This window comes from Homo sapiens, chromosome 14, assembly GCF_000001405.40.
Source record: "Homo sapiens chromosome 14, GRCh38.p14 Primary Assembly".
Lineage (NCBI taxonomy): Eukaryota > Metazoa > Chordata > Mammalia > Primates > Hominidae > Homo > Homo sapiens.
In genome coordinates, this window is record NC_000014.9 from 21,087,906 (window position 1) to 21,105,376 (window position 17,471).

At 54.4% G+C, this 17,471-nt stretch overlaps 3 protein-coding genes across 22 annotated transcripts in view, besides 7 other annotated features; 2 read left to right on the top strand and 1 right to left on the bottom strand.

Moving 5' to 3' along the window:
• Positions 1-2,343, top strand: part of ARHGEF40 (Rho guanine nucleotide exchange factor 40) — a 28,985-nt gene extending 26,642 nt beyond the window's left edge. For 4 of the 7 annotated variants that reach the window (NM_001278529.2, NM_018071.5, XM_005267844.4 and 1 more), the window contains 3 exons: positions 63-193; positions 925-971; positions 1,109-2,343. In NM_001278529.2, coding sequence (NP_001265458.1) covers positions 63-193; positions 925-966 — 173 coding nt within the window. In that variant the 3' untranslated portion in view covers positions 967-971; positions 1,109-2,343. Of the gene's footprint in view, positions 1-50; positions 194-924; positions 972-1,108 lie in introns of all 7 variants that reach the window. The other 3 variants (XM_017021434.3, XM_011536937.4, XM_047431564.1) reach the window with 1 other exon arrangement.
• ZNF219 (zinc finger protein 219) lies at positions 2,172-16,817 on the bottom strand. Of its 3 annotated transcripts, none has more exons than NM_001102454.2 (5): positions 16,606-16,817; positions 5,681-5,769; positions 3,960-5,385; positions 3,506-3,637; positions 2,172-3,235 (listed from the first exon to the last, which is right to left on the bottom strand). In NM_001102454.2, exons 2-5 carry the CDS (start codon positions 5,684-5,686, stop codon positions 2,631-2,633), a joined length of 2,169 nt encoding a protein of 722 aa, NP_001095924.1. In that variant the 5' UTR covers positions 5,687-5,769; positions 16,606-16,817; the 3' UTR covers positions 2,172-2,630. The 3 variants fall into 3 exon arrangements, with proteins under 3 accessions (NP_001095924.1, NP_001095142.1, NP_057507.2); NM_001101672.2 differs by lacking the exon at positions 16,606-16,817 and adding an exon at positions 10,906-10,956; NM_016423.3 differs by lacking the exon at positions 16,606-16,817 and adding an exon at positions 10,407-10,750.
• Positions 2,374-3,219: an enhancer, noted in NCBI's record as "H3K27ac-H3K4me1 hESC enhancer chr14:21558438-21559283 (GRCh37/hg19 assembly coordinates)". NCBI's record gives its function as "activates a minimal SCP1, AML or CMV promoter by ChIP-STARR-seq in primed H9 embryonic stem cells {active_cell/tissue: H9 hESC(primed)}" and the evidence as "EXISTENCE:reporter gene assay evidence [ECO:0000049][PMID:30033119]".
• Positions 3,220-4,064: an enhancer, noted in NCBI's record as "H3K27ac-H3K4me1 hESC enhancer chr14:21559284-21560128 (GRCh37/hg19 assembly coordinates)". NCBI's record gives its function as "activates a minimal SCP1, AML or CMV promoter by ChIP-STARR-seq in naive H9 embryonic stem cells {active_cell/tissue: H9 hESC(naive)}" and the evidence as "EXISTENCE:reporter gene assay evidence [ECO:0000049][PMID:30033119]".
• Positions 4,669-4,878: a silencer, noted in NCBI's record as "silent region_5581". NCBI's record gives its function as "represses an Ori minimal core promoter by ATAC-STARR-seq in GM12878 lymphoblastoid cells {active_cell/tissue: GM12878}" and the evidence as "EXISTENCE:reporter gene assay evidence [ECO:0000049][PMID:35858748]".
• Positions 5,025-5,319: a silencer, noted in NCBI's record as "tiled region #8150; HepG2 Repressive non-DNase unmatched - State 25:Art, and K562 Repressive non-DNase unmatched - State 7:EnhWF". NCBI's record gives its function as "represses a minimal TATA promoter and a strong SV40 promoter by Sharpr-MPRA in HepG2 and K562 cells {active_cell/tissue: HepG2 | K562}" and the evidence as "EXISTENCE:reporter gene assay evidence [ECO:0000049][PMID:27701403]".
• Positions 9,171-9,672: an enhancer, noted in NCBI's record as "H3K27ac hESC enhancer chr14:21565235-21565736 (GRCh37/hg19 assembly coordinates)". NCBI's record gives its function as "activates a minimal SCP1, AML or CMV promoter by ChIP-STARR-seq in primed H9 embryonic stem cells {active_cell/tissue: H9 hESC(primed)}" and the evidence as "EXISTENCE:reporter gene assay evidence [ECO:0000049][PMID:30033119]".
• Positions 10,432-10,932: an enhancer, noted in NCBI's record as "H3K27ac hESC enhancer chr14:21566496-21566996 (GRCh37/hg19 assembly coordinates)". NCBI's record gives its function as "activates a minimal SCP1, AML or CMV promoter by ChIP-STARR-seq in primed H9 embryonic stem cells {active_cell/tissue: H9 hESC(primed)}" and the evidence as "EXISTENCE:reporter gene assay evidence [ECO:0000049][PMID:30033119]".
• Positions 10,931-15,819, top strand: TMEM253 (transmembrane protein 253). 12 transcript variants are annotated; one of them, NM_001146683.2, is made up of 8 exons: positions 10,931-11,293; positions 13,172-13,279; positions 13,403-13,546; positions 13,960-14,070; positions 14,159-14,215; positions 14,500-14,610; positions 14,728-14,874; positions 15,234-15,819. In NM_001146683.2, exons 3-8 carry the CDS (start codon positions 13,439-13,441, stop codon positions 15,351-15,353), a joined length of 654 nt encoding a protein of 217 aa, NP_001140155.1. In that variant the 5' UTR covers positions 10,931-11,293; positions 13,172-13,279; positions 13,403-13,438; the 3' UTR covers positions 15,354-15,819. The 12 variants fall into 12 exon arrangements, 11 of the variants coding, with proteins under 11 accessions (NP_001140155.1, XP_011535380.1, XP_011535381.1 ...); XM_011537078.3 differs by having other exon boundaries at positions 13,186-13,279; XM_011537079.3 differs by having other exon boundaries at positions 13,186-13,279; positions 13,408-13,546.
• Positions 15,392-16,136: an enhancer, noted in NCBI's record as "NANOG-H3K27ac-H3K4me1 hESC enhancer chr14:21571456-21572200 (GRCh37/hg19 assembly coordinates)". NCBI's record gives its function as "activates a minimal SCP1, AML or CMV promoter by ChIP-STARR-seq in primed H9 embryonic stem cells {active_cell/tissue: H9 hESC(primed)}" and the evidence as "EXISTENCE:reporter gene assay evidence [ECO:0000049][PMID:30033119]".

The following is a 17,471-nucleotide window of genomic DNA, read 5'->3' on the forward strand; positions in this document are numbered from 1 at the left end:
TGGTTGCTTAAGGTAATCTGGAGGGATTCTGTACTCTGCTCTCACCCTAGCTTCCCCTTCAGCCCCAGAAACACTTGACTCTTCTGGAGATGTGTCCCCAGGACCAAGAAACAGCCCCAGCCTGCAACCCCCCCACCCTGGGAGCAGCACTCCCACCCTGGCCAGTCGAGGGATCTTAGGGCTATCCCGACAGGTAAGTTCCTACAACGAGGCTGGGAACAATGTGATCTCTTTGGCTGCTTTCTGGATGGGCTTTTCTGATCATTCAACCCCAGGGGGGTTGGGGGAAAACTGTGAACTTGTGCTCCCAGCTGAGGCTACAGTCTGGATTTATTATCTTGTCTACCTTTCTCCTCTCCCCGGGACCTGGCTAAGAGGCATCAAGGTCATAGGTTAAAAGGAATCTTAAATAAGGAGTATAGTGCTGGGGTGGATGGAAAGGGGAGAATGCCAATGGCCTGGCTTGGACTTGGGTTAAAATGGCAAAACTCAGGCCAGGTAAGGTGGCTCATACCTGTAATCCCAGACTTTCAGAGGCTGAGGTGGGAGGATCACTTGAGCCCAGGAATTCAAGACCAGCCTGGGCAACATAGTGAGACTCCATCTCTACAAAAAAAAAAAAATTAAATTAGCCGGACTTTTGAGGGGTGCGCACCTATAGTCCCAGCTACTCGAGAGGCTGAAGCAGGAGGATCTCTTGAGCCCAGGAGGTTGAGACTTCAGTGAGCCATGTTTGTGCCACTGCACTCCAACCTGGGCAACAGTGAGCACCTGTCTCTAAAAAAATAAAAGTAAATAGCAAAATTCAAGGATTTTGGGTAGGAAAGAGAGGTGAATTGACAGGCTTGTGGGGAGGAATGGAGGAAAAGAGAGAGAAAGACAAGAAATATGTCCCTAAATTCACTGTAGCTTCTCTCCCCCCAGAGTCATGCTCGAGCCCTGAGTGACCCCACCACGCCTCTGTGACCTGGGTGAGTCAGCATCCCCAATTTCTACCACATCCAGCACTCCTACCATCTTGCATGTACCTTCCTTCCTGTCCCCGGCTACTTGGGAGTCAGCTTCTTCCCTCTCCCAACTCATCTCCCTCTTCTCTCCTGGCTTCTAGAGAAGATCCAGAACTTGCGTGCAGCTTCTCCTCTCAGCACACTTTGGGCTGGGATGGCAGTGGGGCATAATGGAGCCCTGGGCGATCGCTGAATTTCTTCCCTCTGCTTCCTGGACACAGAGGAGGTCTAACGACCAGAGTATTGCCCTGCCACCACTATCTCTAGTCTCCCTAGCTTGGTGCCTTCTCCTGCAGGAGTCAGAGCAGCCACATTGCTTGCCTTCATACCCTGGAGGTGGGGAAGTTATCCCTCTTCCGGTGCTTTCCCATCCTGGGCCACTGTATCCAGGACATCACTCCCATGCCAGCCCTCCCTGGCAGCCCATGTTCTCCTCTTTTCTCACCCCCTGACTTTCCCTGAGAAGAATCATCTCTGCCAGGTCAACTGGAGTCCCTGGTGACTCCATTCTGAGGTGTCACAAGCAATGAAGCTATGCAAACAATAGGAGGGTGTGACAGGGGAACCGTAGACTTTATATATGTAATTACTGTTATTATAATACTATTGTTATATTAAATGTATTTACTCACACTTTGCCTCTAAGGAGCTAGAGTAGTCCTCTGGATTAAGGTGATAAATAACTTGAGCACTTTCCCTCAACCAGCCCTTAACTAGAACACAGAAAATAAAACCAAGACTGGAAGGTCCCCTCTACCCCTCCCAGGCCCAGAGCTAGCTGACTGTGTATGAGCCTGGGAGAATGTGTCTCCTCCACAGTGGCTCCCAGAGGTTCCACACACTCTCTGAAGCTCCTTCTCCCACACTGCACCTACTCCTTGAGGCTGAACTGGTCACAGACAAACTGGGATCCAGCACAGTCCAGCAGTTCTCAAAATGAGGTCCTCAGGCCACAGTGCGTGAGAACTTGCTTGGCTGTTTGTTAAATGCTAATTCTTGGGCCCCATCAGAGCTACTGCATCGAAACCTGGGGGTAAAACCCAATATTCTGCATTTCTTATCAAACTCTTTGGGTGATAACTAAGTGTCTGAAGAGGTGACTATTTCCTGACAGAAGGACCCAAAGAGGGAAGCAGGACATAGGTAGGCAGACAGACACAGGGCCCTGTGCCTCAAGACACCTGTTTATTGGGGACACGACTCTGCAATAGGGATGACAGGAATCGTACCAAAAATAGCGACGTCTACAGGGCCCCTGATGGGGCTAGAAGGGTACAGTGCCCCCCACCCTCACCCCTTGTACAAAAATAAACTCTCACGCCTATGGACCAGCAAAGACTGGCAGAGTGGCTCCTCAACAGGGACACAAACCTTCTCTGCCAGCCCAGGGACCCCGTTCTTTGACCCTCACCTCTGCCACTTCTAAGGCACTGTGACTCCCTTGGGCTGGGTGGGTACCGCCAGCCCACCCTCCTACGCCCGCCGCGCCTTCCACCTCTGGTCCGCCTGGGGCTGGGATATGGGTCCCACGCTGCCCCCTGCTGGCTTCTCTACCCAACTACCTCTAGCGCTCCCCCGCTCCGGCGGGGTAAGCTCACTAAGCTAATCGCCCCTGAGGGCCCACTACCGTTCTTGCCCCCCCAGCCCTGCCTCTCCGGGTCTGGACAGCCCGGAGCCCTCCTCCCCTTCCTGCGAAGGACTGGGAGGGGTCTCTCCTGATGGTACTCGGGCATAGGGCGGGGACGCGTCAGCCTGGGGTGGCCGGCGGCCCCTAGCCCGGCGGCTGTGGTGCACTTGAAGGTGCAAGGCCATGAGCTCTGGGGCTCCAGTGGCGAACGGGCAGAAGAGGCAGCGGTGGAGGGCACCCCCAGGCCCGGCCTCGCCTCCCGGCCCTGCCCGCAAGGACAGGTCCAGGGGTTCGGCCTCACCGCCTCGCCCGTTGCGCAGGGTCCTCCCAGGGCTGGCGGGCTTCCGACGGGACCCCGGCCCAGCACCGCTAGAAGGAGGCCGGGGACTTGAGGCGCCCTCCACCCAGGTCGCAGGCTGCGGAGACGGCTTGGCTCCAGATTGCGGGGCCGAACCCCGCTGGGAAGGAGGCGGTGGCTCCGGGGGTGGCCCGGGGCCGGCCCCGCTCCTCTGCTCCCGGTGGTGGCGCTGTAGGTGATACTTGAGCGAGCCGGACTGGGTGCCCGCGTAGTCGCAGTGCGGACACTTGTAGGGCCGCTCGCCTGGGGAGAGTGGGTGCGATAGGGTCACGGGGTCACGATGACTGCACGCACCCACCCGAATTTCGCCCAATTTACAGACCTCATTCTCAGAACCAAGAAAGGGCACTGCGTCTCCCACCCACTTTGATTTAATAAAGGAGCGTTTCCCAAGTGATCTCATCCAGCCAAACTGAAGGCTTCGGAACAAACTTCACCTCCTAGTGTTTCGGTAGCCCTCACCTTTCTGCCCGCCCCCAGTCCCCTCTCCACGCCGGAGGCTGCCTCCCTCACCTGTGTGCACTCGCAGATGCACTTTGAGGTGATGTGCTGAGCGGAAAGATTTTCCGCAGAAAGGACAATCCTTGCCGGTGGCGCCCCGGCCCCCTTCAGGCCGGGTCCCTCCAACCAACAGCCCATTCTCTTCTGCAACACATACGTTAAGAGGAAGTCAGGGGGGCCCACACCCTGTCCAGGTGCCGCGCACCCACCCCACACCCATCCCATAGGGCTGCTTCCCCTCGGGGTCCAGGAGGAAACAAAGTCTGAGGGGTTAGATTTGTTGTGACTAAAGAGTTAAGTGTTCTCAAATGATGGCAAAGCCTCCAGGAAAACAAAACAAAACAAAACAAAAAAACTCAGGAGAAATTAAACGTAAGTTCTTTTAACAAGGAAGCTACGAGGGAGTGGCGGCGTAAGAGTCAGAGGAGGACGCGGCGTACCCGGAGAGCGGAGGGTACCTACATACCCTGCGTGGCGGTCGATCTTGCCTGGGCCCCAGCAGCAGAGGCAGAGTGCCCCGGTCCCTCACCCGGGCGCGGGTGCAGGGAAGCCAGAGAGCCCAGCGACCTGCCCCGGGCCCAGGTTTCCTCCTCGGCCTCCACCACCTCCTCTTCTTCCTCAGGCTCCTCCGCACGGTGCCGGCGAGCCCGGGCCGGGAGAGCAGAGGACAGCGGGCGGAAGCCTCCGAAGCTGCGGCCGGGACCGGGCTCAGCACCCTCGCCGTTGGGCCGGCCCTCGCCAGCTCGCAGGCTCAGGTAGCCCAAGAGGCTCGGGGGCTCACGGCGCTCGGCCGGGGTGGGAGCCGGGGCCAAGAGGAGCGCTGGGCCCAACGGCTCATAGGCCAGCAGGCCGAGGTCAGGAGGCTGGGGGGCGCGGGCAGGCCCGGAGGCAGGCCCCGGGGCACGCAGTGGGCCCAGCTTGCTGGCGTGCACCTTCATGTGGTTCTTAAGGAACCAGGGCTCCTTGAAGCAGCGGCCGCACACCGGACACGCATGATCGAAGGAGGCCTTGTGCTTACGCATGTGGCCCTTGAGAAACCAAGACTGTGTAAAGCTCTGGCCGCACACTTGGCAGCGGAACTCCGGAGGCGCTGGGGGCTCCTCGGGAGCGGCAGGAGCTGGGGTCGGGGTTGCCTCACGTTCGGGCTCCGGCTCCGGCTCCGGCTGGGGGACTGATCTGGGTTCGGGCTGGGGTGGAGGCTGAGGCTGAGGCTGAGGCGGAGGCGCAGCGGAGGTGGCCGCCAGGGGACGCTCGGGAGCCCCGTGGGCCGTCAGGCTGTGGTGCAGCAGCTCCTCCTCCTGGCTGGAGCCGAAACTGCACAGGCCGCACTTCCAGGGCCTATGCAGGATGTGCAGGTGGCGTTCGCGCTCCGCCGAGGTGCGAAACTTGCCTTTGCAGTAGGGGCAACGGAAGGCGGACGATGAAGGAGCCTGGGGCCGCGCCAGACCCTCAGTGGCAGGGGTGGCCTGCATGCCCCCTGAGCTTCGGGCTCTCCCCAGTCGGGCCTCGCGTAGTAGCGCGCGCTCTTCCAACTCCAGCAACAGGCGTGCAGCAGGACTACGTGGGCGCTCGGGCTGGTGTGTGCGCAGGTGCGAGCGCAGCAGAGCCCGCTGCGCCGCGCGGTGGCCGCAGTGAGGGCACTGGAAGGCCTGGGCTCCTGGGTGCGCCCGCAGGTGCAAAGCAAGGATAGAGTTGAAGCGGAAGCGCTTCCCGCATACAGGGCAGGGGAAGCGCCGTTCGCCTGCACGACTCTCAGACCAGCTCACCGCTCCCATCCCGAGCGACCCTGCGCTCACGGCTGGCCCGTTGGAGTATCGCTGCAGATCCAGCTCGCCGTCGAAAGCCGGCGGCGACGGCGCTAAGTGGCCGCTCGGGGCGCGGGGACGTGAGCCCTGTGGAGAAAGATCTGCGTAGAGCAAAGGGTGAAGGTAGAGCTGTAAAGGAAGCAAGGGCGTCGCCTCGAGGGCCAGAAGGACAACACGAGGGAAGGTGGGCTGGGGCCTGAACTAGGAACACAGGGTGCTACTCACCTCGGGAAGATGGGGTGGGGGGAGGTGTATGGGAATCGAGATGTCAGGGCCAAGGAGTTAACTTCTAATAATGGGAGGTCAAAGAGAGAGAGAGGTAGGCAGGAGAGGGAGTATACAGTTGTAGGTACTTGTAGGTTGAAGCCAGAGCTTCACTCACCTCCATGGACCCCCTTCACATTCTTTGGTTCTGGGAAGTGCAGGGAAGAGGAGGAAAAGCTGCTAATGAAGGCAACAGGTGCTGTGGAGCTAAAGCAAGAGACAGATTTGGAGGAAAAGATGAGCCCTAGTTTTCAGCAGTAAAGTCACTCCCTACCCCCAGACTCTCAGCATTCTGTATTCCCAAAACCAATCCATTCTCCCTACTTGCTTCTTGAGGCACGAAGGGGCTGCTATACTCAAAAACTGTACCTCTTGACTTGCCAAGCCTACAAGCCTCCCAGATAATCCAGATTTCTTCCCCAAATTCTATATTTTAAATGCATGGTCCAGAACAACCACAGCTACCACCCCACCCCCTGGCGGTGGGGAAGACCATCACAATATGCCCCTCTCCCATGTAGGTTGGGCTATGCAGTGTGGTGAGCAAATGAGGTGGGCTTGCCATGCTCCCCATTTATCCAAGTGGGACCAGTTGCTCTGAGATCCCTAACTGAGCAGCCAGCCAAACATCCTTCCAGGTTCCACAGTGCTTCCTTCTGCCCTTACCCTGTCTTTCTGTCTTTCCCCCCTCATTCTCCCTCCCTCCGCCTGGATTCCTGATCCATTCATTTCCATTCATTACAGAGACTCATTCATGCATGGGAGAGAAACACCTCCCAGCAGCAGAGTCTGAAGACAGACAGAGGGGGAGGGGCATGAAGGGGGAGGGAGCCAGAGGGAGAGGGAATGAAGAGAGAGTTGGGGGAGGAGTGGAAGTTAAGGGGCACAGCTAGCCTGGGGAAGGGGCTAAAAACTGCAAATACCGTATAGGATTCATCCCCTTGTTTCAAACCTTGGAGCCTGCAGTATGATGGGGCATCTGAGCCCCTTTGTCCAGGGCTGTTCCGAGGCAGGCTTTCCTCCTCTCTGCAGGGGAGAGGCTCCCTCACACAAGAGGAGGATTACACTGGCTCTGAGCTCAAGAGGCTGGAGTGAGGGACGGGGGGCGGGGCTGGGCCATCTGCACAGATAGGGACTCAGCACATGCTCTGAGCAGGAAAGGGTTAAAATTCTCCAGGCTAAAATTCCCTAGGCCTGGGACTTGCAGAGCTCCAGTGCTGGGGAAGGAGAAGATCATTGAGAGGAAGAGGATAGGGGTTGGGGGGGGGGGCGGGTGCTGATCCTAAGCTGCAGAGGAGTTTAGCATGAGGACTTAGAAGAAACCCCAGAATCAAGATTCATGGAAACAGACCTGGGAGGATGACCAGAAGTCATCTAGTCTACCTTTCTGCCTCATATAGAATAGTATCTGGTCAAGGCTAAATGAATGTGGGTCTAACCTTTTTTTTTTTTTTTTTTTGTCTAAGAAAGGATATTTGAGATATAAAGAACTTCCTTACAATAGGCATCACAAAACTGAAATGGGTTACTGAGAAAGAAAAAGATGCAAGCATTACTTTGCCTAAGGATCTTTAATAGAAAAGAACTGTGCCAGGAGTCAACCTGCCTGTCAGCAGAGAGAAAAGGCTCTGGAGGTCCAAGGCTTCTTTAATTTTTGACATTTAGTGGATGTGGTAAAACTCCATGAAGGGGCAGGTACCTGTTACATGTGGAATCTGGGCTATAGGATTATTATTAGCAGATGATTAATTAACAAAGTGTCCTTGTCCAAGGGTCACTAGACGACCTCCACTACCACTTAATATGTGTATTTCTGTAGCTTCAAATTAGGGCACCCACTCTCATCCTCTGGATCCTTTCCTGGGACTAAGAGCCTAGCCAGGCTTACTGAATAGTGTCACAAAAGGTGAATTAGAATAGGACTGAAGGGTACAAGGCTATTGTAGGCCTAGTCTGAACATTGATAACCCTACAACCTTTACTAAATCACTTAACCTCCCAGTTTACTCATCAGTAAAATAAGGGGATTGGACTAATTTATAGTGTTAGTCCCTTCCTGCTCGAAAAAAGTTTGTGATTCTAAGTCACAGGACTCTTTTGGACCCCAGAGAGATGTTAAAACAAATGGTCATCCCTTCAGTACCATGGAGAGTGCAGTGGGCTACCACAGAAGCCACTTGGGCCACCTCAGTACCATAGATAGAGCTATGAGGTGCTAGAGGGGCTGTTTGCCATTTTAGCATCGCAGATACAACACAGAAAAGCTAGAGCATTTTTTTTTCGTTCCTATCTGAAAACCATAGAAAAAAACCCAGTGGTACCAGAGGGATTATTTTGGCCTTTTAGATGTCACTGAAAATAGAAAGAGCTAATAGAAAATAGATGTAACTAGAAGAATTTTAATTAGCTATAAGGAGCATCCTGACAGTTACAGTTTGTACATCCTGGAATGAGTTACTGAGGCATCATATTTGGGTCCATCACATTCTGTTGCTCTCCTGGGGATTCCCGGAACATCCTGGTGTACAGCCAATCTGGTATATTCAGAGGAAGCAGATGGTGGAGGCGTGGGGCGGGGGGGCTGGGAATACTGCATGGTCATAGCTGACTAACCTATGGGCACATACTCTCATTCTGAGAAGATTCTAGGGCCCCTAAAACTGTCTGTAGGATAGCAAGCAAAATCTCTTAGGAAGCTGGCCTCATATCTGAGGCAAGAAGAGTCAGAAAAGGGCAAAGCTTCCTATCCCAAAACAAAACAACAATAAACCACTTTGCACATAGCAGTTTCCAGAACAGAAATAGAGTGATATACAAGAAGGCCCAAACTGAAGCTGAATTCCCCAGCACGGAAAGTTTCCCCAGAAGGTGGCCTAAAATCAACAAAACTCACTGAGATACCTTCTTAGGCCCAATGAAGATCTGAATCATCTCCATATCAAACCAGGTTCCAGACACCTGATCCCATGATTTTTTTCTCAGTAGGGGAAAGAACTGACAGGGACTGGGATACTATGAACTGCCTTGGAACCGAGGTCATGCATATATTGCCCCTGGACAATAATCACAGAGTTTTCTATAGTCAGGCCTTAAACACCATCCTCGAGACTTGGCCAGACAGCAGCACTGACCTACTTTCCACCCCCACTGGGAATCAGGGGTTATCTTGCCCTTATTTGGATTCTATAAGGATGCGGGGCCAGGGATAGATATCAGAAACCTTTCAAAAGCAGTAGGCCAATTATCCTTACATGCTGGGGCAGCTGGTAGGGAAGTGGGTGTGGACCACTAAACCTTACTCAGTAGAGAAGGATGGAATGGTTGGTGAAAAGACTTAGAAACAACAAGGACAGGTACATAGAAGTATTTGCTAAATGGACCACAAAGACTGTCCCTCAAGTCTTGTGATTCAAAAGTTTTTAGGGTCAAAGTGTAAGGAGCAAGGGTTCAGGACTTCTGGGGTCCAGTTGTAACTGCCTCTGGTCACCTCTAACACGATGGTTTTCCCTCTTGAGAATCCTAGACCTCCCAAATCTGCTAACAATTATGATTACCACTGCACTAGATGGGGTTAAAAGGAAAGGGAGCTTCTAGGGCGGTCTACGTTCAAAAGACTACCTTGATCACACAGACACACCAGTAGTTCACTTTTATGGTCTCCTCTCCATGGCCCTCTGAACCTCACTGCTCAGATAGCTCCTCCTAACCCGCTCCACTCTGCAGCTCACCAGCCTTTTTAGACTGAGATCTTGGTAAAGCCTCCTTCCCTCTGTCCTCACTCTCCTGAGTTAGGGACATGGAACCTCAGCCATGGACTTCAAAGGTACAGCAGGAGGCGAGAGGAAGGCACACCTGCTCACCTGCTGCCATCCCACCATGGGGAATCTTATCCCAGAGGCATGTCCTAACGCAACCCCGATTTTGATTTTGAAAGTTCTGGAAGACCTGGGTTTGGGAAAGAGGGGCATGTAGCCAGCCCTAAGTCCCTTTAAGTGGAGCTGACCCTAGAAAAGTCAGTCTTAGCACCCACGTGAGCCTCGGTCCTCAGACTGGGAGGTAGGGGCGATCAAGGGAGCCTCTGGGAAAATCCCCCTCCCAGAAATAGATTGCTAAGTAGGGTAGGACCTGCTATCCTGCCGGAGAGGTTTTTCCAGCAGCACCCCAGACCCCTCCCCAGGAAGATAAGCCAGAAGGATGATGGGGGGCAGGGTTGGGAGATAGGGAGGCCAAGGCTCAGCTACCCCCGGCCAGGAGAACAAAAGCTGAGTTACAGCCGCCTCCGCTGCTGCCGCGGGCCGAGCTCTTTGTGACACTTTGTTTGGGACGCAAAGAGGGAAGCACCCCCCATCCTTTCCCCTCCCCCGCCACCCCGTGCTTCCAGAGAGTTTGGGCTCCTTCCCCCTCCCCCACCAGCCCTACCTGGGCCGGGGGTTGGGGGGTGCACATCCACTCAGGCTCGCGGCTCTGCCGCCCCTCACCCCCAGGTCCCTCGCGCCCTGCCTTCGGGCCCCTACAAAGACACCCGCCACCTCCCCCGCCACATCCCCCCCGTTGGCCCTTCCCTTTGGTGTCTGCTCCCCCAGCTCTTCCACCTGGCCCCCCCTCCCTTGGGGCCCCCCAGCTCTCCAGGCTTCCGAGGCCGCCACCCCCACCCCGCCCCCCCAGGAGCTCTGGGCGAAGTTTGCTTGGGGCCGAGCCGGCGCCCCTCCCCCGCCCCCGCCCCCTGCACCTGCTCCGAGCCGGGCGCGCTGAGCGGGCCCCCCCTCCGGGAGGGGGGAGGGGGCCGGGGGCGGGGGCCGGGTGGCGGACGGGGGGGCCCGGGAGTCGGGGGAGCGGCTACTCACGAGCCCCGGGCGGGCGGCGGCGGAGCGGGCGGCGGCGGCGGCGGCGGCGGCGGGCGGCGGGCCGGCGGCGCGGGCGTCAGCGTTACGTGGGGCCGGGGGAGATGCGCCGGGCCCCGGCCCCCCCGCCCCCGGCCCGGCCCCCGCCCCCTCCCCGGTCCCCCGCCCCCGGCCCTGGCCCGCATTGTGTGCGGCGGGAGGCGGCCCGGCCATTAGCATGCGGGGGGCGGCGCGGCGGGGCTGGGAGCCGCGCGGGAGCCGGGCTCTGGCTCCGGGGACAGGGAGCTGGGGACCCCGGGAGCCGCGAGAGGCGGCCGCCAGGGGCGGGGTGCGGGCGGTTTGGAGACGGGGGGCGCTGTCGGAGGGAGGGAGGAAGGGAGGGAGCGGGGGTGGGGCGCACAGAGGATTCCAACAGGAGACTGGAAGAGATTTTGAAAGGTCATCTCGTCCTTCCCCCAGCCTCCAAGCAGCACTGCCCCTCCCTCCCTAAACCCGGACATACCAGGGAAGGAGTTGGCTCTGCCGCTCTTTCTGCCCCAACATGCACAGACTCGGGAAGTTCTTCCTGGGGTTTTATCTCAAAGCCTCTCCCTTACAATTTCTGTCTCTCTTTTGGGGGAGGAGGAGGGGCGATTATAGAGATAGTTAATGTCGGCCGTATAAGAAACATTATTAAAGTTACTCTTCGGTCCTTTCCGTTCTTGATAAACAATTCCTGCGCCTTCCTCTCGAATTCTATTTTCCATTCCTCAAGTCACTTTAATGGCTCTTCAATACAACAAATATTTACTGAGTGCTTACTAAGTGCCAGGCACTGGGCTCAGCGCTGTGAGGGATGAGAAAGAAGTGGTACCTTCCTTCCAGGCGATTGTAGTCTAGACTACAAACTGGTAAGTAGTATACTCAGATTTAGTCAATATTTACTGAATGCCTGTTCACCTATCTAATAGTATATAATCTTTCCAATAACCCTCTATAATTAAATTAGCCCCCATTTACAAGTAAGAAAAATGAGGCTTCAGGAAGTCTGTTTCCCCAGTGGCCTGCAGGCTCGGGGATCCTCAGTGCAAGCCCAACATCTCACATCGCCACCAAATAAAATCAATGCACGTGGGAATTGAGGAGGAGTAGACACACAGCAGTTTTCTGGATCTCTTTAAAACGTGACTCCCACTCCCCGGGAAAGAAAAGAGTAGATACAATGACCCGCCGATGTTGGCACAGCACTGATGGGGCAGGAGTGGCTTACAAAAGATCACTTGCCTCCCAGGACCCTGCCTCCCTCCTCGTACTAACTTCTAGAGTCTTCTGGCGCAGTCTCCTCTTATCGTCAACAACAAGAAATAATAATAGTGATGATGATCATAGCCACTAACATTGAGCACTTGTGTACCAGGTACTGGGCTAAGCTCTCTTCCATGCTGAAAGCAACCCCTTGAGACTGGTATTATTAACTTCCTTTTATAGATAAGGGAACAGAGAGATTAAGCAACTTGCCAAGGGCACCTAGGTAGATCTGGGATTTGTTTTGATCTATAGAGTATATTTGGGCCCAGCTGGTTCTGCTTCCGACTGTAGAAATGTGTCCCCAGCTTCCTTCTGAATAACACTTTTAGTGTATGGGCATCAGACTTATCGGTGTGACCTCATCAGCACCACTAATAGTTATTAAACACCCACCCTGAATCAACAACTCTTCACAGTCATATTGTTAGCCCCCTTTTATCAGTGAATAAACTGAGGTGCGAATAGGTAGAAAAACATATCTATCAGGACAGACACAGTGGCCCACACCTGTAATCCCAGCAGTTTGGGAGGCCAAGCAGGGAGGATGGCTTGAGCCCAGGAGTTTGAGACCAGCTTAGGCAACATTGTGAGACGACCCTGTCTCTACAAAAAATTTAAAAATTAGCCAGGCATGGTGGCATGTGCCTGTGATCCCAGCTACTTGGGAGACTGAGGCAGGATGATTATTTGTGCCCAGAAGGTGTTGGCTACAGTGAGCCATGATCATGCCACTGCACTCCAGCCTGGGTGACAGTGAGCCCCTGTCTCAATAATATAATAATAATAATAATAATAATGTATCCAAGATCACACAGATGGAGAAGCAGCAGAGCTAAGATTCCAGCTCAGGTCTGTCTGGCTATGAGGCACCTTCTCTCTCAAAAATATTAATTGTTGCAATAGCATCCTTCCCAAGACTCACTATTTGAGGACCATGAGATAGATAGATAGATAGATAGATAATGTCCAGTTGCAGGTTATCATTGAATCAAAAACAATCCCCACCATAAACAGGGTCCCCCCCATCCATTGAGTCAGTGTTCAGTTCAGAGTAAAACCTTCAAGAAAGAAGGAAGGGAGACTGTCCAGAAAGTGAGAGGCAAGAAAGCCCCTGGAATTCAACCTTACCTGGTCTGGGGGCAAAGCTGCAAGTAGTAATGACAGGGGACCAATCCAGACAGAAAGTAGGATCTCTAGGGAAGGGCACATAATTTGAGGAGGAAGCCAAAGAAAGGAGTAAGATCATATGGAAATGAGGGGGAATTGAGGTCCAGAGTGATAGTGTCCATGGGGATGAGGTAAGTGAAACCAGAAAAGGAACCCAGGATGGGCAGAAATGAGGGTAATGAGAAATGGGAACAGAGTGAGGTCGGGCTAGACATCTTGTGGAGTGAACTGAGGCCGGTATCTACCCAGGGCCACTCCCTAGATCCTTAGGCCTTCATAGAAACCTTTGCCCCACCACACCCCATCCCTGACAGCCTTCCTCTGCCAGGACAAGTTTGTCGTCTGCTCTGAGCTATCAAGCCCCTTAGGAGACCTAGGACCCAGCTGGGTCCCATCCCTTTGGAGTAGCTGCTTCAGACTAGGTAGGTGTGAGGACCTGGACCTCAAATCCCTGGATATTGGGAGTGGGCAGAGGTGTAGCTGAAAGATACGTTGTTGCATGTCCTGTCTCCTAATAGACAGAACCTATAACGCATTTTTCCCAGCCTAGGAAGCACCTAATTCTTGTGGGCAAAGGAGCCATGGAAGATAGAGCTGGTGAGCAAGAGCAGGAGAGACACAGCCTTCGTCTGGAAAAGCTACAACACTGGGCAAGGCACAGGCAGAGTGGGCACCTCTTGGTGCTAGCGGTGAGGCCAGGCTACCCCATCCCAGGTCTCAGCATGTCCACTTCTACCCAATTCAATTCCATCCATCCATCCATCCATGTTAAGTGAGCACCTACCATGTGCCAGAAACTGAGCTAGGTTCTGAATGGGAGGAGGGTAGAGGAAAACATAGAAATAAACAAGGCAAGACCCTTAATCTCCCAAGTAGCTTCCATCTTGTGGGGGAAAACATACAGGTAAGTAACTAAACTACAATATGAGGCAGAAAAAATTAAATGATACTTAATTTTTAATGATCACGTCCTTGCTCTGGGTTGACTGCTTTCCTCCACCCTGCATTCAATCCCATTTCCTGATCTCTAAAGAGGTAGGAGTTACGAGAAGGGAGGGAATCCCTGACAGTTCCTCCCCAATTACCCTACCCTTACCCCCAGGTGAGCCAGCTATGGCTGGCAGTGGTTGTGGTGCCCCTTGCTGTCTCAGTCGCCTGCCTGAACTCTGATTGTCACATGGCCACAGCGCTGCCTCTTGGGCCTGGAGCCTCAGTAAGACCCACCACAAGGGAGGGTGGAAGGTCCCAGGGCCCCTTCCTAACGGGACCAGAGCTCAACACTTGCCCTTCTCACCATTCAGGGTCTCCTCACTGGGACTGTCACTCTGGAGCTTCGCAGAGCACCCCGCCTTTGGAAGGTGAGAGGGAAGAAAACGCAGCACTGTCCTCCCACTCCCTAAAACAGACACCTACAACCCTCAGCCTAGGAAGTAAGTGGCTAAGTGTTGACTCATTCTCTCAGCTGTCACCACTGACTGGCCTCAATCACTGAGGAGGAAAGCAAAAAAGTTAAGAGGGCTTATGGCCCTGTTTGGAGGCTGAGAAGCAGAAGCTGAGTTTTGTCTTCAGCTAGGCTGCAAGTGGGGATTGAGGTTGGAATGACTCCCCTAGGCTGGGCAGGGCTGAGCTGGCTCACTGGCAGGTGCGGGCCATGATGATATTCAACACCTTCAACTTGATCTTGGGTTTCATAGTGGTGGTGGTCGAGGTGATGAAGACAGCCTTGGGGCCTGCCCCAACTGCCTCCTCCCAGGTACTGGTCAATGAAGGAGAAGGTGGGAGGATAAGGAGGCAAGAGGAGGTGGGAAGGGAAAAGGGCAGGGGCAAACAGGTGCGGGGTCCCTGCATTCTCAGCCCTGTCTACCTGCAGCATGCTGGCTTGCTGGTGCTGGAACTCAGTGCTGAGGCCTTCACCCTAGGGGGAGTGCTGGTCTCAGTGCACGCCCTATTCTTGCTGAGCCAGAGGAAACCAGGATGCTGCAGGAGCCAGAGTCTGCACTATCAAGAGCTGCAGGAGGTATGGGGGCAGGGAAGAAAGCACGAATAGCTAGCTGCCAACTAATTTTTCCACTGCCTATCCTGGTCAGTGGCACTTAAGGGAAAATAATGGGGCAGGAGAGAAAAGAAGAGGTCCTAGAATGAAACTGATTGGCTTTCTCTGGCTTTGAACATTTCTCCCCTAATGGTGGGTAAGAGGAAACTGGGAATCCAAATGATTGAGGTTAAAAGAGTGGGAAAGCATTAGGAAGCTGCCTAAATATTGGCAGGACTATGGGAAACAGGATAGAAAATTGGGCAGGAGGAAGCAGTTGTTTCTGTCTGGGGTTTCTCCTTTCTCACCTCTACAATTTGCTCACACCTGTCTCTGGTTTTCAGGGCTTCTCTGAGTTGGAAGAGGTTCCTGGTTTGGAGAATGGTCCCACGGTGGCCAGCACAGGAGCAAATGAGAGGGTGGGACAGCGGGAACAGACACGTGCTGCTCTCCTTCCACCCTGAGAGAATGCTCTCCAGACATTCCTGCATCCCACCCCACCAAACTCAGAAGCTTGCTGGGATCCTTCGAGTCCAATAGGAAGTCCGGGAGTGCCTTCAGTTTTCACTCAAAGCAGGCCCTTTTTTCGTTCCTTCCCTGTTAGGGGAAGATACACCTGGACGAGAATATATCCTCACCTCACCACCCTGAAAAGCTGCTTTCTCCCTTGCATCCATATCCTCTCTTCCTGTCACCTCCCCATACAGCTTCACATTTGCCTCATCGCACTTTTCTTTTCTGTCCACCTTTCATAATCCCATCCACTCCAAATCCCGGACCCTGCACACGCCAACTCCCTGAATCCAATTCAGGAGTGCCCCAGTTCCCCTTTCGATCCATCTCCTTTCTACTGTAGCGGAGACTACAAGTCCCAGGATGCCCCGCTAGCCCGTGACCGGCTAGGAAATAAAGAGCCTTCTCTCCGCGGTAGGGGCGCTGTTGGATGTGCTGAGTGACGCGAGGCGGGGAAGTCGGGGCCTAGCCTGGCGCTTTCTCGGACGCGACCACTGGCCCCGCGTTCGGGGAGGAGCCGGGCGGGCGGTCCTGCACTGGCGTGCCGCTCCCCCAGCCACTGCAATAGAGAGCTGGATCTGGGTCCCCAGCCCTGCGCTGGCAGCTTCAGAGACTGGCGAGGGCTCGGAGCTGACGCTTGGCAGAGCTGGGGCTTCCCAGATGCTGTCGCCGCACCCCCTCGCAGGAGGGCCCAGGTCCGAAGTCCTGAGACTTGGAGCGCGCGCGAGAAAGGGGTTGGAGATGATGAGTCAGAAGCGCGGGGCCTTTCTCGTCCCCTCCCCTAGGGCCTGGGCGCTGAAGATGGACAGGCTCGCTGGGCAGGCGGGTAGATAGGGCAGGCAGAGGGAGGGACCCTGCGACCCGCGTCTCTCCCTAACGCTTTCCCGCCTCTTGCGAGCACGCCGGTGTAACGAGCCTGCGCTGCCGCCACCCTTTATCTCCAACGCGGGAGCGGGACTGCGCAGGCTTGGCCTCTGGGCTGACCCGCCGACCTTTGATCTCGGCTGCGGTCGGGTTGCTGAAGTTCTGGCTGCGTTCACCCCCACCGTTTACGACCTTTGCAAGTGTGCAAAGATAACAGGCTCGCTTGGGCTTGGGAAAAGCCCGGGAGAACTGGGAGTCCCACTAGCAGCAGCAGCTGGGCAGCTTGCTGGCCGCTAGAAACTAGAAATTGACCACAGCTGGAGTACCAAGAGAACTCACCCCAAATTCACATAGTGCCCGGGATGGCTGTTCGCCTCACACTCATTTTTGTTCCCACTTGAGAAGGCTTCTTTCCCTAGAGAATGCTGCTTCTCCCGGCCTAGCCAGGGCCAGGCACCAGTGAGGATAGAGCGCAGCCTGGCTGCCTTGCCTTGACATTGCAGTGGCGTCCGCTGCAGCTCTTTTCTGTTTGTGACACCTTGGAAGAGTGGTAATAATCTTCCTATGACAAGGTTAAGTGTGAGTACTAGTGGGTGGGGACAGTTCTGGGATCAGGCTCTGGAATGGAGAAAAGATCTAGGCCTTCTGCATTTCTTCCTCTCCCCCAGTCTAATTGCCAGAATAATGGAGAGCTCATGTCTGCAGGGCCGATGAAACAATATTTTTCTTGAAAGTCAGAAGGTGGTGGTAGATGAGGAAGCTGAGGGAAGAAAATTAACAATTTGTTCTGTTTTCCAGGTTTTAGTGATGTGATCAGATTAGATATTGCATTCTAGTTCCAGAGAAGCTTGATGACCATGGAAATTAACCTCTATCAGTCAGATTAAGCTAGGCTCTGCTGTGGTAAATGCCAAATCACAGTGGCTTAAGACCACAAAGGTTTATTTCTCATACTACGTGTCCAAAGTAGGCTGGCAAGGGATTCTGTTCATTGCAAATGTTTCCTCCCAAGCTCATGGAGCGCCACCATTTTGAGATCCTACCCTGTCCCTATGAAGGTTAAGGTTACCCGCCCCGCGCCCCCCGCCTCAGAATGTGAAGTAAGCATGAAGAATTGTTCATGGACTCTTAAATGCTGCCCTGAAGTGATACATTCATGTCACTTCCACCCATTCAATGGCCAAAGCAAGTCATATAGCCACACC